The sequence below is a fragment of the Homo sapiens genome, chromosome 11 (genome assembly GCF_000001405.40).
Source record: "Homo sapiens chromosome 11, GRCh38.p14 Primary Assembly".
Lineage (NCBI taxonomy): Eukaryota > Metazoa > Chordata > Mammalia > Primates > Hominidae > Homo > Homo sapiens.
The window spans coordinates 97939351-97957470 of NC_000011.10; the positions used below are offsets into that span (position 1 = coordinate 97939351).

Below are 18120 nucleotides of genomic sequence, written 5' to 3' on the forward strand. Positions count from 1 at the left end.
CTTGAAAGAATTCATCATCAAGCCATTCTAAAGAAAATAATAAAGACTGTTAGAAAGAATAATAATTATCCTTAGTTTCTCTTAAAGAGATAGAGATTCAGGAAGGATTAAAGAACAGCTAAAATTTTAAGTAATGGGTGTATAAATAGATTATTTAACTTACTATATACATCAATAAAAACAATAAAAAATAAAAATAAAAGCTCATAGATTGAGAGTGGATAAGTAAAATTAAAATAAACATTCTGAGAACTTTTATCATGGAAGAGAAAGAGAACAGTACTAATTAATATTACACTTCAAGTAAAAAACATAATTTTTAGCATAACCCCTACATGATAGTAAACATGTATACAGTTTCAAAGTTATAATGCTTAAATTTGGAACAACAGGAAAAAAAATGACTACAGAAAACAAGAAAAAAAGGAATAATAGGCAATTTCAATATACAAGCATACCTCATTTTTGCATTTCACTTTATTGTGCTTTGCAAATATTGCATTTTTTAAAAATTGAAAGTTTATAGCAACTTCATTGAGCAAGTCTATTGGCACGATTTTTCCAATAGGATGTGCTAATTTAATGTCTCTATGTCACATTTTGAAATTCTCAAAATATTTTGAACTTTTCCCTTATTATATCTGTTATGATGATCTATGACCAGTGATCTCTGATATTACAATTGTTCTGGGGTGCCACAAATCATGCCCATAAAAGATGGCAAACTTAATCAATAAATGTGTGTGTACTGACTGCTCCACTGACTGGCCATTCCTCTATCTTACTCCCTTTTCTTGAGACACAACTATCCCCTGAGACACAGCAATACTGAAATTAGGCCAATTAATAACCCTACAATGGCATTTAAGTGTTCAAATGAAAATAAGTGTTGCATGTCTCTCACTTTAAATCAAAAGCTACAAATGATTAAGCTTAGTGAGGAAGCCCTTTGAAATCTGCAATAGACCAAAATCAAGGCCTCTTGAGCCAACTGGTTAGTCAAGTCGTGAAAGGAAAAGAAAATTTTGTGAAGAAAACTAAAAGTGCTATGCCACTGATCACATCGATGATAAAAAATAAATAAATAAAATAAAACAGCCTTATTCTGATAGAAAGTTTAAGTGGTCTGGATAGAAGATCAAAACTGCCACAGTATTGCCTTAAGCCAAAGCCTAATCCAGAGCAAGGCTCAAACTTTTATGAATTCTGTGAAAGCTGAGAGAGTTAAGGAGGCTGCAGAAACAACGTTTGATGCTAGCAGAGGTTGGTACACAAGGTTTAAGGAAAGAAGCCATCTCCATAACATAAAAGCACAAGTTGAAGTAACAAATGCTGAAGTGGAAGTTGCAGCAAGTTATCCAGATGATCTAGTTAAGATCATTGATCAAAGTGACTACATCAAACAATGGATTTTCAATGTGATGAAATAGCCTTATGTTGGAAAAAGATACCATTTAGGACTTTCATAGCTAGAGAGGAGGAGCCAATGCCTGGCTTGAAAGCTTCAAAGGAGCTTTCTTAGGAGCACTCTCTTAAATGCTAATGCAGGTGACTAAGTTGAAGCCAGTGCTTCTTTACCGAGATGAAAATCCTAGGGCCCTTAAGAATTATGCTAAGTCTACTCTGCCTGTGCTCTAGCAATGGAACAACAAAGCCTGGATGACAGAACATCTGTTTGCAGCATAGTTTATTGAATACCTTAAGTCCAATATTAAGACCTACTTCTCAGTAAAATAGATTTATTTTAAAGTATTACTGTTAACTGAGAATGCACCTAGTAATCCAAGAGCTCTGAAGGAGTTGTATAAGGAGATTGGAATTGTTTTCATGCCTACTAACACAACATCCATTCTGCAGCCAATGCATAAAGGAGTAATTTAGACTTTCAATTTTTATGATTTAAGAAATACATTTTATAAGGCCCTAGATACCATAGATAGTGATCCCTGTGGTGAATCTGGGAAAAGTAAATGGAGAATCTTTTGGAAATAATTCACAATCTTAGATGTCATCAAGAACATTCATGATGCATGAAAGGAAGTCAAAATATCAACATTACCAGGGATTTGGAAGAAGCTGATTCCAACACTCATAAATGACTTGGAGGAGTTCAAGACTTCAGTAAAGGAACTAATTACAGATGTTATGGAAATGGCAAGAGAAGTACAATTAGAAGTGGACCCTGAAGATGTGAATGAATTGCTTCAATCCTATGATGAGACTTGAACAGATGAGAAGTTGCTTCCTTCAGAAAAACAAAGAAAGTAGTTTCTTGAGACAGAACCAACTCCTGGTGAAGATGCTGTGAACATCATTGAAATGACAAAGGATTTAGAATATTCATATGCTCATTTGATAAAACAGCAGTAGAGTTTGAAAAAACTGCCTCCAGTTTTTAAAGAAGTTCTACAGTGAATAAAATGCTATCAAATAGCATCAGAGAACATATTACAGAGAAATCTTTCGTTAAAGGAAAAGTCAATCGATGCTGCAAACTTCACTGTTGTCTTATTTTTAGAAATTGCCACAACCACCAAACCTTCGGCAACCACCATGCTGATCAGTTAGTAATCATCAACATCAAGGCAAGATCCTCCACCAGAAAAGAGTCAGACTCATTGAAGTCTCAGATGGTTGTTAACCTATTTTAGCAATAAAGTATTTTTGAGTTAACATATACACATTGTTTTCTTAGACATAATGCTATTACACACTCAACAGCCTTGGGTACAGGGCAAACACAACCTTAATGTGCACTGGAAAACAGAAAAGTCCACATAACTTGCTTTAGTATGATATTTATTTTATTGCAGTGGGTCTGGAACTGAGCCCAAAATATCTTCAAGCTATGCCTGTATATGACAAATAAAAGCAGCTCATGTTATTTAGGTTTAAATATAACTCTATTTGTAACTTCCATAAATATAAATGAACAAAATACTGTAATTAATAGAAACAGATTATCAGATTAAATAATCTAAAGCCAACCACAGTGGGTTGAATTGTTTCCCTCCAGAATTTAAGTCTACCAGGTGCCCTAGAATGTGACCTTCTTTTGACATAGAATCTTTGTAAATGTAACTGAGGTAGAAATTAAGATGAAATCATGGTGAATCAGAGTGGACCTTAAATCCAGTGACAGTGTCCTTATAAGAGGCAGAAAAGAACATACGTGGACACAGAAAAGAAAACCATGTGAAGACAGAAACAGAATGGGAATTATGCTGCCATAAGTCAAGGAATGCTTGGGGTTACCAGAAGCAGGAAGAGGCAAAAATGGATTCTTCCTTAGAGCCTTAGTGGAATGATGGCCTTGCTGATATCTTGATTGCAGAGCTGTAGCCTTCAGGACTGTGAGAGTACTAATTTGTGTTGTTCTAAGCCTCCAAGTTGTGGCAATTCATAACAGTAGACCTAGAAGACAAATAAAGGTTTAGTCCTGGGAAGTGGGCTGCAAATATAAAAAAAATACTAAGAAATGTGGAAGTGGCTTTGGAAATGGGAAATGGCTAGAGATTGGAAGAATTTTGAGTCATGTAACAGAAAAAGTATATATTGCCTTGGAGAGACTGTTGGTGAAAATATAGAGGTTATAAGTACTTATGGCAAGGTCTAGGACAGAGAAAAGAAACATGATATTTGGAACTGGAGGAAATGTAATCCTTGTCATAAATTGGCAGAAAACTTGACTTAATTGTTTCTATTAATGGGTGAGGAAAAGAACTTTTAAGAATTCACCTAGGATATTTTGAAGAAGAGATTTCTAAGCAGAGTTTTGAAGGTGTGGCCTGGATTCTTTTTATTACTTATAGTAAAATGCAAGAAGACAAAGATACATCGATGAAGGAACTGTTAAGCAAAAAGGAAGCAACACTCAATGATTTGGAAAATTCTCAGCCTATCAAGACTGCAAAAGATGCTAGAGCATGCTCTGGAGAAAGGGTAGAGTGTGGCTGGACAAACTTCTGGTAAAGACATGAGATGTATAACTCATGCATCCAATCAATCATTTCCACAGAAGCCATAAATAGAGACAAGCTATAAAGAAAGGATCTGTGGAGAACCCTTTGTTTAACAATGTGGGTCCCCCTGACAGACACAGAGACCCTCAAGATTTTTCAGAATGTTATACCACCAAAAACACTGGCAGCTTGGACTGAAGAGGACAGAAATGGGATGAAATGAAAAGGCTGTCATTATTTGGGGATTCTACAAGCAAAACGTGTCCTGCTAGAGCAACTCTGGCAGAAAACAAGTGCTAACCTTCAGAAAAATGAAGAATAATTCTGAGGGAAGAATTGTCACAAAGGTCATTACAAAGTTAATTCCAGAGAGTGGAGCCAGAGAACAGACCATCAAGCCTAAAAGGATTAAGCCTAAGCCTTGAATTTACAGATCTACTCTGCGAAGATTTGGAGTTGCTTGGAACTAGTGATCCTTTACTCCTACAAATTTCTACCTGTTAATATAAAAATATCTATCTAATGCCTGTACCACTATTTCATTTTAAAAGCAGATAAATTTGTTTGTTTTCCCTGTTCACAGATGAAGAAGTATTTTGACCTAGGGTGGACCATACACATTCCCAACCAAACATGATTGAGAAGGTTTGGAAGATGAAACTTGGTACTTTAGAATTTTTCTCTTTTAGTGGAAATTTATATACATAATATATAATTTGTCATTTTTATGTGTAAAATGTTTTTGTCACCTCTCCCAAAAAACTTTGTAATTTTTAAGGAATAACCAATAGTCCCCTATTCCACAAAACCTGGTAACCTCTAATTTATTGAATGTCTCTATGAATTTGCTTACTGTAGATATTTTCTTCAAATTATAAAATAATTGGCATTTTGTTCCTGGCTTATTTCATTTAGTATACTTTTCTTGGTTTATCCTTCTTGTAGCATGTATCAGAACTTCATTCATCTTTTTGTATGTCTAAATAATTTCCCACTGTATGCATACATATATATATGTATATATATATATATATAATTTATTTATGTGCCGATGGATACTGGTTTATTTTCATCTTTTATTTGTTGTGAGTAGTACTGCAATGAATTTTGGTGTAGATTATCATTTGGTTTCACGCTTTCAATTATTTTGGGCATATACCTAGACACGGAATTGCTGGGTCATATGGTAATTTTATGTTTAGCTTTTTGAGGAAGCATCAATCTGCTTTCCACAGCTGCTGCACAATTTTATATTCCCACGAGCAATGTATAAAAGTTCCAATTTCTCCACATCTTCACAAACACTTGTTATTTTTCACTGTTGAATTTTAGTGTTCATTTAGGTTATATGAACATTTTAAAAACAGTATTTCAATCCATGAACATGGGCTTTCTATTTATTTTTGTCTTCTTCAATTTTTTTCATCAAAGTTTTAACCTTTTAAGTGTATAGGTCTTTTACTTTTTGGTTAAATTTATTTTTGAGGTTTTTTTTTCGTAGCTATTTTAACTGGAATTGTTTTTGTGATTTTTTTCTTTTTAGATAGTTTGTTGTTGATGTATAGAAATGCTACTGATTTTTCTATCTTGATTTTTTTTTATTTCTACACAGTTCACCAATTTGTTAGCTGGGACTCAGAGCCCTGTTGGAGTCTGCTGCCAGTCTGAGGTTGGTGAGCCAGGCATGGGGACTCAGGTGTGCCTGTCTCTCTCTGAGTCCCTGTACTGCCAACAGGACTGAACTCTGACCATTACTGAGAGGGGCTACAGCCAATTTTCAGAGGCTTTTCTGTTCCACAGATAACATCAAGTTGTAGATGTATAACCTGAGGCACAAATGAGTGTGACTCCTTCCAGGTCCCTGGGTGGACAGTTCCAGTACCAGGACCAAGAACAAATGAAGTTACAGCCAAGTCTATCGGGGGAAGGACCATTTCAAGTTCTGGAACTGGAGCTGCAGTCAGTGAGCTGGCCACGTAGGTGCCCTTCTGCCCTCCGAAAAGGACCCCCTAGGTCTTGGGCTGCACCAGGGTTTCACAACTTTCCAAGTTCCCATAAGGGTATTTTCGTCTGTGCATGGCTGCAAATTTACTGTTGCTGTAGGGGAATAGGAACTATTCTGCTGACATCACTCATAATATCATTTGGTGCTCAAAAGTTTTGGATAAAGTCCAATTTATCAACTTTTTGTCTTCTGTTGCTTGTACTTTTAGTGTTATGTCTAAGAATCCATAGCAAAATCCAAGATTGTGAAGATATACTCATATATTTTCTTCCAAGAGATTTATGGTTTTAATTCTTATATTTAGATTGTTGATCCATTTTGAATGCATTTTTGTACATGGTAGGAGGCAGGGGTCCAACTTCATTCTTTTGCATAGGTAAATCTGGTTGTTGTTCTAGTGGCATTGTTTAAGAGGCTATTCTTTCCCCATTGAGTAGACTTATCTTTGCAGAAAATCAACTGGCCATAAAAGTAAGGGTGTATTTCTGAACTTCCAGTTTTATTCCGTTGTTCTTTATGTCTGTCCTTTTGACAGTACTACACTGTTTTGGTTATTGTAGCTTTGGAGAAAGTTTTGAAAATGGTAAGTGTTTGCCCTCCAAATTTGATCTTTTCTCTCAAGATTATTAAGTTTATTTGGAACCCTTTGCATTTACATACAGTCTAAGCATTAGCTTTTCCATTTATGCAGAAAAATGTGTTGGAATTTTGACAGAGACGATGTCAAAGTCTGAAAGTGAGAGAATATAATTGTGTTCATATGCCAGTTTTGTAGTAATTTATTATGGCAGCCCTTGGAAACTAACTTTTTCGTAGGCAACATACCTAATACATATGATAACAAAAAAAATGGAGGTAAAAGTATAGTAAGGAAAAAGATATAATATAAAATTACTAACCAAAAGAAAGTTGGTTGAGTGTGAAAAAATTGGTTAATACATTTAAAAATTAAGATGAAATCAAGAGTTTCTAAAAAGTTATGATTTACCAAATCTAACACAAGAATAGAAAATATAAAAGACTGTATAATTTCTAAATAAATTTTACACATAATTCAATAACTTTCCAAGATAAAAAATACGTGTTTAGATAGCTTCACCAGTGAATTTTACCAAAATTTTAAGAATTATACAATTAATCTTACTTAAAAATCTTTTAGAGAAAATAAAAAACAAAGCATTTTCAAATTCATGTGGTAAATCCAGTATAATATTTTCCAGTCTATTTTGCCTGATATCAGTATAGCACACCGGATTTCTAGTCACTGATATTTGTCTGATAAATCTTTTCTATTACTTTACTTCCAATATGTCTTGAAATATGAGGTATATCTCTTGTAACAACATATAATTGAATTATTTTTTAATCCAGTCTCATCTAAGCAGTGCAGTAGGGCAAGAAAACAAAATAAATAATACAAAGATTGGAAAGAAAGAAACCAAATTGCCAGTATTCACAAATCTCATGATTTTTGAAAATCTCCAAAATATACTTAAATTAAATTACTGTAATTTAAAATGAGTTCAGCAGTGTTCCTGGATACATGTTTAACATAGAAAAATTAACTGCATTTGTGCCCAGTCATGTGTTTGTGTGCATGCAGCAATAAGAAAATAAAACTTAATCCAAGAGACCATCTAACAAAGTATCAAAAACATATCAAATTTCTAGAAATAAACCTAAAACATATATACAAGTCCTTTATATAAAATAAGTACAAAGCATCTTTGAGACCAAATAAGACCTATATAAAGACTAAAGTATTTCTGTGTATTTAAAGAGTCAATATTACAAAGATATCACTTCTTCTCAAACTGATTAAATTGGTTGTAAAATTATAACCCGACAGATGTAATTTTTGGAATATGACAACATTGTACAATCTATATGGAAACCCACAGGACCAAAATTAGCAAAAGCATTTGTGAACTAGTTGGAAAAACTTTTTCAGTCAGACAACAGTAATATAAATAATAAGAGTAACCAGAAAAGAAAATAAGGCAAAATAAACTGCAGTAAGATGAAAACACATACACACATATCAAAATTCACCATTTGAATTGGGGAAAAATTCATAAACTGTAGAAGTTTATAAATGTTAGTCAAAAACTTGCATTCAAATATATGTAAATTATTATTACAAATAAACGAATAATAGTTCAATAAAAAGTGTAGGAGTAACTTGAATTTTACAGAAGAATATTTCCAATTGTCCTATAAAAACATGCTCAACCTCATTAATAATCAGGAAAATGGAAATTTAAATCCCATCTTATTGAGTTCAAGCTACTATAGGAAATTACCATATACTGAGTGACTTACACAAAAATATTAATTTCTTACAGTCTGGAGGCTGCAAAGTTTGATAGCAGAGTGCCAGCATGGTCAGGTTCCAGTGTGGATCCACTTAGATTGTAGATGTCTGTCTTCTGGCTGTGTCCTCACAGGCAGTGTACAGAGAGAGAAGCAAGTTCTCTCCTGTGTCATCTTATAAAGGCACTAATCCCATTATCGAGGCTCTACTTTCATGACCCAATTACCTTTCAAAAGCCCCATTTCCAAATACCATCACATTGGAAATTAAGGTTTCAAAATATGCATTTGGGGAGGCTCAACCCCAATAATATCCAACTGAACGCTGAACAAATGACCATAATTTTAAAAACTTTGATATTTTCATGTGGTGGAGATGATATTAAGCAAACGAATGCTCATAAACTTTTGATGGAATGTGAAATGGTACCACCACATGACTAGGGGAGCAGTAAATTTATTCCTAAGTCTAGTCCTGCCTAATGTGTGCATATTGACAATGAAAACAAACATCTTAGAAACAACAAAAATAATATCTGTCATTAGTAAAATGAATAAATCAATTGTGGCAAATTTAAGTAGGAAACACTATTTATCAGCAAAAATAAATAAAGTACAGCTACACATGTCAACCTTACAATGATGAAGTTAATGAAGCCAGATACAAATATATATAGAGAGAGAGTATGTATATATATACATACACACACTATACTCTATTATGCTATTTATGCAAAGTTTATAAAGCAGGCATTGCCATTGATATGGAAGTGCTGGGAAGGGAAGGTCTTGGTCCCTTTAAATGATATAAAAAGGGGAAAGGGAAGTGTGTGGTCCCTAGCTAGGGCCCCATCCCGACAGACCTAGGTGAGGAAAGGCATTTCCTCCCAAAATGTATACAGGAAACACTATTTATCAACAAAAATAAATAAAGTACATCTATATACAATTACACAGGTCAACCTAATAGCTATAAAGTTAATAAAGAAGCCAGATACAAATATATATATATATACTCTATTATTCTATTTATGCAAAGCTTATAAAACAGACATTACTAAAGTGTTTGGCAGACATGATTAGTTGGTATACCTAAAAAAACAAATCAAGGTGATGATTACAATAAAAGTAGAAAAGTGGTAAACTCTGGAACATGGAGAGGCTTTGTGTTATAGCCAAGGAGATGGGAGATCAGTCTCAAATTCATCTCCCGGACTAACTAAAATCAGAGGTTTATATAGCAAAGAAGAAACATGGTTATATACAGGAAAACAGGAATTAGGGAGAAGTAAGGAAGATGAGTTGGCCAACAGGAACCAGGTAATCTCTTAGGCAATCATGACAGATGAGGTTTCAGTTCCTTGTTACTCTTTGGGAGGACTGATGGTTGCTTTCCTGCTGAAGGAACTCAGATAAGACAAATGTGACTTTCTTAAGTTTTAACACTTGGAGGGTCAATTTCTGTGTTTATTGAAAGGAAACTCTAAATATTAATTCTGTGGAACAATTGGGCCAGTTTTAACCATACTCTACTTAGACCTGCATCACTGATATTGAAAATTTGATTTGTAGTAAATAATCTTTGTATACTTTTTTAATGTGATTCTTAATTTGTGATTTATTCATTTATATGTGATGTATTACACAACTTAAAAAACTGTTAAATAAAAATTCAAATGTATGGGATCACCTTTCTTCTCCTTGGATCCGATAAACCAGTTTTTTACCTTTTCAGTTTGTAACTATTTAAATAAAGGGCACTTCATAAGTTTTTTGCCCCAATTTATTTTTATTATTATACTTTAAGTTCTGGGGTATGTGTGCAGAACGTGCAGTTTTGTTACAAAGGTATACACTTGCCATGGTGGTTTGCTGCACCCATCAACCCGTCACCTCCATTAGGTATTTCACCTAATGCTATCCCTCCCCCAGCCCCCCACCCCCTGACAGGCGCTGGTGTGTGATGTTCTCCTCCCCGTGTCCATGTGTTCTCATTGTTCAACTCCCACTTATGAGTGAGAACATGCAGTGTTTGGTTTTCTGTTCTTGTGATAGTTTGCTGAGAATGATGTTTTCCAGCTTCATCCATGTCCATGCAAAAGACATGAACTCATCCTTTTTTATGGATGCATAGTATTCCATGGTGTATATGTGCAAATTTTCTTTATCCAGTCTATCATTGATGGACATTTGGGTTGGTTCCAAGTCTTTGCTCTTGAAAACAGTGCTCCAATAAATATACGGGTGCATGTGTCTCTATAGTAGAATGACTTATTATCCTTTGGGTATACACCCAGTAATGGGATTGCTGGGTCAAATGGTATTTCTATTTCTAGATCCTTGAGGAATTGCCACACTGTCCTCCACAATGGTTGAACTAATTTACATTCCCACCAACAGTGTAAAAGCGTTCCGTTCCTATTTCTCCACATCCTCTCTAGCATTTGTTTTTTCCTGACTTTTTGATGGTCCAGTCTAACTGGTGTGATATGGTATCTCATTGTGGTTTTGATTTGCATTTCCCTAATGACCAGTGATGATGAGCATTTTTTCATATGTTTGTTGGCTGCATAAAGGTCTTCTTTTGAGAAGAATCTGTTCATATCCTTTGCCCATTTTTGATGGGGTTGTTTGTTTTTTTCTTGTAAATTTGTTTAAGTTCTTTATAGATTCTGGATATTAGCCCTTTGTGCAATGGATAGATTGCAAAAATTTTCTCCCATTCTGTAGGTTGCCTGTTTACTCTGATGATAGTTTCTTTTGCAGTGTAGAAGCTCTTTGGTTTAATTAAATTCCATTTGTCTACTTTGGCTTTTGTTGCCATTGCTTTTGGTGTTTTAGACATGAAGTCTTTGCCCATGTCTATGTCCTGAATTGTATTGTCCACGTTTTCTTCTAGGATTTTTATGGTTTTAGGTCTTAAGTTTAAGTCTTTAATCCATCTTGAGTTGATTTTTCTATAAGGTCTAAGGAAGGGGTCCAGTTTCAGTTTTCTGCATACAGCTAGCCAGTATTCCCAACACTATTTATTAAATAGGGAATCCTTTCCCCAGTACTTTTTTGTGTCAGGTTTGTCAAAGATCAGATGGTTGTAGATGTGTGGTGTTATTTCTGAGGCCTATGTTCTGTTCCATTGGTCTGTATGTCTGTTTTTGTACCAGTACCATGCTGTTTTGGTGACTGTAGCCTTGCAGTGTAGTTTGAAGTCAGGTAGCATGATGCTTCCAGCTTTGTTCTTTTTGCTTCAGATTTTCTTGGCTATGCAGGCTCTTTTTTAGTTCCATGTGAAGTTTAAAGTACTTTTTTCCAGTTCTGTGAAGAAATTCGGTGGTAGCTTGATGAGGATAGCATTGAATCTATAAATTAATTTGGGCACTATGTCCATTTTCACCATATTGATTCTTCCTATCCATAAGCATCGTATGTTTTTCCATTTGTTTGTGTCTGCTCTTATTTCCTTGAGCATGGTTTGTAGTTCTCCTTGAAGAGGTCCTTCACATCCCTTGTAAGTTTTATTCCTAGGTATTCTATTCTCTTAGTAGCAATTGTGAATGGGAGTTCACTCATGATTTGGCTCTCTGTTTGTCTGTTATTGGTGTATAGGAATGCTTGTGATTTTTGCACATTGATTTTGTATCCTGAGACTTTTCATTTTAAGTCAGAAAACCTGTATCACTGTGTTCCTCTTTACTGATTCTGGTGTTCTAGTTGATGTCATAAAATTATTCCACTTTAATTTGCATACACTTGGTGAATGAACACACACTGAATGCTATGGGTTGAATGTGTCCTCCAAAGTTCATGTTCTGAAAACTTAATCTTCAATACAACAGTGTTGAGAGGTAGAAAGTTTAAGAGGTGATTAGGTCATGGATGTTCATCACTGATGAATGGATTAACATTATTATTTTGAGTGTGGGTTCACTCATGAGAGTAAGGGTGGCTTTTTAATAAAAGTGAGTTTGGTTCTCTCTTACTCTCTCTTGCCATGCAATACCTTTTGCCGTGTTGTGACCTAGCAATAAGGCCTTCACCAGATGCAACCCCCAGATCTTGGACTTCTCAGTCTCCAGAACCATGGGCCAATAAATTTCTGTCGATTATAAATTACCCAGTCTCAGATATTCTGATATAACAGCAGAAAATGAATAATACACTAAAATAATAAGTTACATTTTTATTTTCTGAAGAGTATCTTCAAACAATTATTTGGACAGAGAAGAAAACACTATGGTCTTGAACGAAATAGGAAAGTCCAATGTACATTATTTTTTTTTTTTTTTGAAAGAGAGAGAAAAAAAGAGAGATCAAAAAGGACAAGAAGGAGTAGTATTTATTGAGCTCAAGCCATGTTACATCCACTGTGCTTGGCACGGTATGTCCACTTGTCCATTAACTCTTATATGACTTGCTATATTATCATGAGGCAGACAGTAGTATTATCTTCAGTTTAAAACAAGGATAATTAGGAATATTAAATTCTTATATCTGAAATTTCACACTTAGGAGTTCTAAGGTGGTTTAAATCTTACTGGCCTGAAGTCAAAGCACAAAAATGGCAACCAATGTATTATTAATAAAGTCTATACTATTGATTTTCTGTAGCTTAATATAAATAAAAATATATACTGCACCAAATGAAGGTTCAGCAATGTTATTTTTTTTGAACTCCTGGTTCCTATAGTTTTTATTATGTTTCACTGTGGAACTTTTGTTGATAAATCCAGCACTATTTGATACATGACCAGACTTTCCTTTGCAAATTTACTCCTGTTCAAAACAGCCAAAGGTTCAGTACCACACAATTAAGCGTTTCTTTCAGAATCTGTCATTTGTTTGTTTTTCTCATTCTTAGTTTTCTCAAATGCACAGCTTAAAGCTAGATAATTAAACTGTTTTAAAACTGAAAATTACTTTAAATGTTATTATAGGACTCTGCATATTAAAAACATAAGCATAATTTTACTTTAAAGCATTATTTCTCTATTTAAGTATTTAAAAAAAAAAAGTAAGACAATGAGTAGATCAATTAAACCTAGCCAGTTCAGATAAGTTTTCATAAAACTTCATATATTGGTATTTGTAGGTACAAACAGAGAATTCTTAAAGCATTATTTCTCTATTTAAGTATTTAAAAAAAAAAAGTAAGACAATGAGTAGATCAATTAAACCTAGCCAGTTCAGATAAGTTTTCATAAAACTTCATATATTGGTATTTGTAGGTACAAACAGAGAATTCATAAAGCATTATTTCTCTATTTAAGTATTTAAAAAAAAAAAGTAAGACAATGAGTAGATCAATTAAACCTAGCCAGTTCAGATAAGTTTTCATAAAACTTCATATATTGGTATTTGTAGGTACAAACAGAGAATTCACCATATTGTTTACAGAGCCCTGGCTTTAGAAACATGATACTTGAGGAGTCATATTTCCACTCAGTACTCATTAGTTCTGTGCATTGGGCAGGCCCATTACATTTTGTACGTGTGTACTATCAGTTGTAAAATGAAGATAACAATACAGTTCTAATTCACAAAATTGTTGCAAAAATAAGGTAGAAGAAAGTATATGAACAAAATTTTAGTGATGGTAACACATGATATATATTGTTATTTTTATTCCTATAATTTCCCTAGTTTCAAAAAAAACCTATTTCGAATGTAGCTTTAAGTTTACTCCTTGATATACTTAAAAAAAACTTACAAGCATCTTTTATGAATTAAAAAAATTGAATAAATAGGTACTCCCACAAACAAGATATCTATACAAGTGAATTAAGAGGGTTGCTAGACAACACCTTGCTGTAAGAAACACTTTTAAAGGAATTCTAAGCCTTAATGGTTCTCAAGAGACCAGTTGCACAAAGCAATTATTGATATACAGGAGAGAATATGACTGGGAAAATTTAGTGTTCAAAATCACTAACAGAAGTAAAAGTAACAACTACAAGAGTCTTCCTGAAGAGCGCTGAGTAGAAGAAAATGTAGTGCAATCTCTCAAAAAGCCATCTTTTTAGAGACAGAAATAAAAGTTATTGTTCCCCTGCTATTCTATTATCAGATGAAGTTTTGGTCCTTTGAAGTGTGAGTAAATTTATTTGTTTAGAGCCTCTCATCTAATTCTTCTAACACTTATCAACTTTCCACTTTTCAATATATTCTCTTTGCTCCAGAAAAAAAAGAGGTTCTGAGTCTCTTCTGTCATGCACTCATCTTTTCCCTTCTTTATTCGAAAAATGAATGACTTCTTACACTAATGTTTTATGTGTAAAGTTTTACATGTCAAGAAAAAGTCTTACTTTTCCAAGTCCAAGACTGATATAAAATGCAATCTCAATGTCTTCCCTGCCTTCTTTTGTCTCTGTAAAAATTAGCAATATTCTTCCCTCCCCTAGCTTTGTTTTTCAACTAAGGCAGGTAAATCTGCTTATAGATCAGCTTCTAACCCAAGCATGCTTACTTTGGAATCTTCCCATAAAAGTGAATCAGATCGTTTTTGGAATAAGTTGAATTCGTCAATTATTGCAGGGAGTATACTATTTTTTTCCTATTCATTGCCTTTGTTTTCCTTTAATCTTTGCTTTAGCTGGGATGTTTCATAGTTAATAGAAGTGGGAAAATATAGTGTTTTCTAAATATGTACATATCTCTATATTTTAACCAGAATGAAGAGAAGATTGAATTCAATAGTATAGCCTGGTTCTTTCTTTAAACAATTTTAAGGTCAAATGGTTCTCTTCATACTACCCTGATCAGGTGTCACCTCATTTAATTTTCAGGCAATTCACAGGGACTAGCATTCTGAGCAACAAATATGACCAGGGATTCTACATAACTCATTTAATCCTAAAAATTATATTGTTCTAATTTTATTCTTAAAAAAACTAGATTCAGTAATTCTGAAAAGATCAAATCATCATGATTAAGTAGAAGAACCTGAAGTACAATCTCAGCCTATTTGATTTTAAAATAAACATCCTTTCCAATCATCATGTTGTCTCGGATAAGTTGAAAATCTCTCAGTGTATCGCTACATAATCTTAAACTGTAAATTTTTGTAGCTGAAATGGTGAGTAAAATAAAGCAAAATAAATCATTAAATTATATAAATTTGCATGTTTAAATATAAAACAGTAGATTGAAGACTGACATTTAGTAATTCTGCTGTATTAGATTACATATATTAAATTATTTTATAAGTAAATTCAATGTTTTTGTGACTTAAACTTTTAATTAACACTTATATTAACAAAAAAGGAGCATACTAGGGAGATTCTAATTTGAACTGATGTGTTATCTTTCCTATGAAATATTTTAAAAGTCTCCTCATTAATTATTATTCCTCTGTGCCTCCTGTCGCTATCAAAAGAGTCTAAGTCTCCAAGAAATCTCTCACCACTAGAACTCATCCTCATAAAATTCTGTTCATTTCTTAAAGCGACCTAATCTTTCATTCTTTCCTTATCTCTCAAACATTTTCACTAGGTCCCTTTGTAACACCTTCTTTCATCAGTAACCCTACTCCCCTATTCTACTTCAAACTATTCTCTGAAGTCTCCTGTTTTGACTCGTATGTTGTTGAAGATGTGATAGCCAAAGGAGCCTTTAAAGTGGGAGCTGTAGTTGTTGTTTATTTCCTTCCAATAATCTATGTATTGCAAGGCATAAAGATAGCATATTTATGTATCTCATTTCAGCTCCTAGACTACTTGTTATCTCTCAAACACCAAGGATTTCTTCAAGTTGGTGCCGTTAGACTTCATTATCTATAAGCTCTCTTTGATACTGGCATCTATTAACATTTCTCATTCCTTCTCATTCTTAAATTCTCCTCATTCTTTCACCTAGTTTACCATCCTTCCCTTATGTCACTATTATTATCATTATTCTTAACAAAATCAAAATTTATATTGATGATCTACTCAATTACCTGGACTTTTAGATCATTGGCATCTGCATTTCAAATAATGTATTTCTTAATTCCACTTTATTTACTATATTCTATCACTTCAACGAATTAAAGGAAAAACATGATAATTTCATTAAAAGGACAAAAATATATTCAAAAAAGTTTAACTCTCCACTTATAAAAATTATACTCTTCGATTAGAAATATAGAATAACTTTCATAATTAGATAAAGAACATTAACCAGATGCTCATAGTCAGCATAATATCTACTAATTTAACTAAGAACAAATATATGGATAAAGATGAAAAAATATATATAAAATAAATAAATAAAAATAAATAGTAAAACAAAGGTGATCACATTTAGTGCTTCTCATAAGAATTGTCCTAAAGATTTAGACCAATGATTTTAAAAAAGAATGAAAATTTATAAACATTAGGAAAGAAGACATGTCTAGTTTTTTTCCAGAGATGATATAGAGTGCAAAATGTTGTTGCTGTATATAACACCAATATACCAAAAATGAATAGAAATTTTATAATTCAAATTATAAATCAAAGAAAATGATTAATGATGCATTTATAAGGTAAACTAATCATTTAAGATAAAATGGCAGGATCATAAAATAGTTACAAATCCATGTACTTGATATATTTAAAATTATTGAACAAACATAGAGAAAAAATTAAATAGAAATATAACGTATCCACAAATTACTCAATAAAATGAGAATACATGAAACAAAAGTATTCAGAATAAATAATGGAATAAAAAACTAAAACCATGGGGAGATGTGAGGAAGAGAGGTTAAAAAGTTTAAGGAAGACTGGACAGTCAAACATATACATAATTAGAAATCCAGATGACAAATAAAGAAAAATGGATAGAAGCCATATAAAATGATATAATAACAATGTATTTCTAAAATAAACGAAGTGCTTCCTAAGGTTTAAGAAAAACAATGAACTCAAAGCAGAATATATAGAAAGAAATCCATGTCCCAATTAAGCTGGAGAAAACCAATGAAAATTTGAAAATAGTAAAAGAGCCCAGAGGATAAACAAGCAAAGAAAACACGGATGAATTTCAAAGAAGCAGCAGTAATCCTGAAAGCTGGCCTATGGAAGCTATAGGATAATCTCATGATACATTCAATGTGATTTGTTTTTGCTAAGATTGGGAGTGAATAGCATTCTAGCTATTTACATCTTTAGCAGAAACCATAAGCCTCTGGAAATTTAATTTAATATTAAAATATCATTATAAATTCTTTGCCATATTAACAGAGTACAGAAGAAATAAAATGATCATCTTAGTAGATACAAAATAAGTCATTTACAAAATTCAACCTGTATTTGTTATAAAAACTGTTAACAAACTTGGAATAAAAGAAGACTTCCTGAATTAAATTGTATAATAATATACCTACTGAAAATGTATAATTGTTGATAAAAATAATTAAAATCTTTCTTCTTTTTTTCTTCTTTTTTATTTTGACAGACTCTTGCTCTGTTGCCCAGGATGGAATGCAGTGGGACAATCATGGCTCACTACAGCCTCAACATTCCAGGCTCAATAGATCCTCCCACCTCAGTCTCCAGAGTACTTGGGACTACAAGTGTGAACCACAACACTCAGCTAATTTTTAAATTTTTGTACAGATGGGGCTCCACTATGTTGTCCAAGCTGGTCACAAACTCCTAGGCTCAAGCAGTCCTCCCACCTTAGCCACTGAAAGTGCTGGGATTACAGGCACGAGCCGCTGGGATTTCAGGCATGAACCACTGTGCCTGGCCAGCTTTTTCTTTAAGACTGAAAAAAAGATGTGTGTCATATTATCACTTCTATTCAATATTGTATTAGAGGTCTTATCCAAGGAAATAAAGAATGATAATTCTTACAGATTGTGTTTATCTGTTTGCATTACTA

The 18120-nt window shown here is 33.3% G+C and overlaps 1 long non-coding RNA gene across 1 annotated transcript in view; it reads right to left on the reverse strand.

Annotated features, from left to right (window-relative positions):
- Positions 1-17733, reverse strand: part of LINC02713 (long intergenic non-protein coding RNA 2713) — a 78303-nt gene extending 60570 nt beyond the window's left edge. Inside the window, exons 1-2 of the long non-coding RNA NR_183633.1 lie at positions 17621-17733; positions 3256-3414 (exon numbers count right to left, since the gene is read on the reverse strand). This is a non-coding gene — a long non-coding RNA (long intergenic non-protein coding RNA 2713). The remainder of the gene's footprint in view (positions 1-3255; positions 3415-17620) is intronic.
- Between the last annotated feature and the right edge of the window lie 387 nt (positions 17734-18120).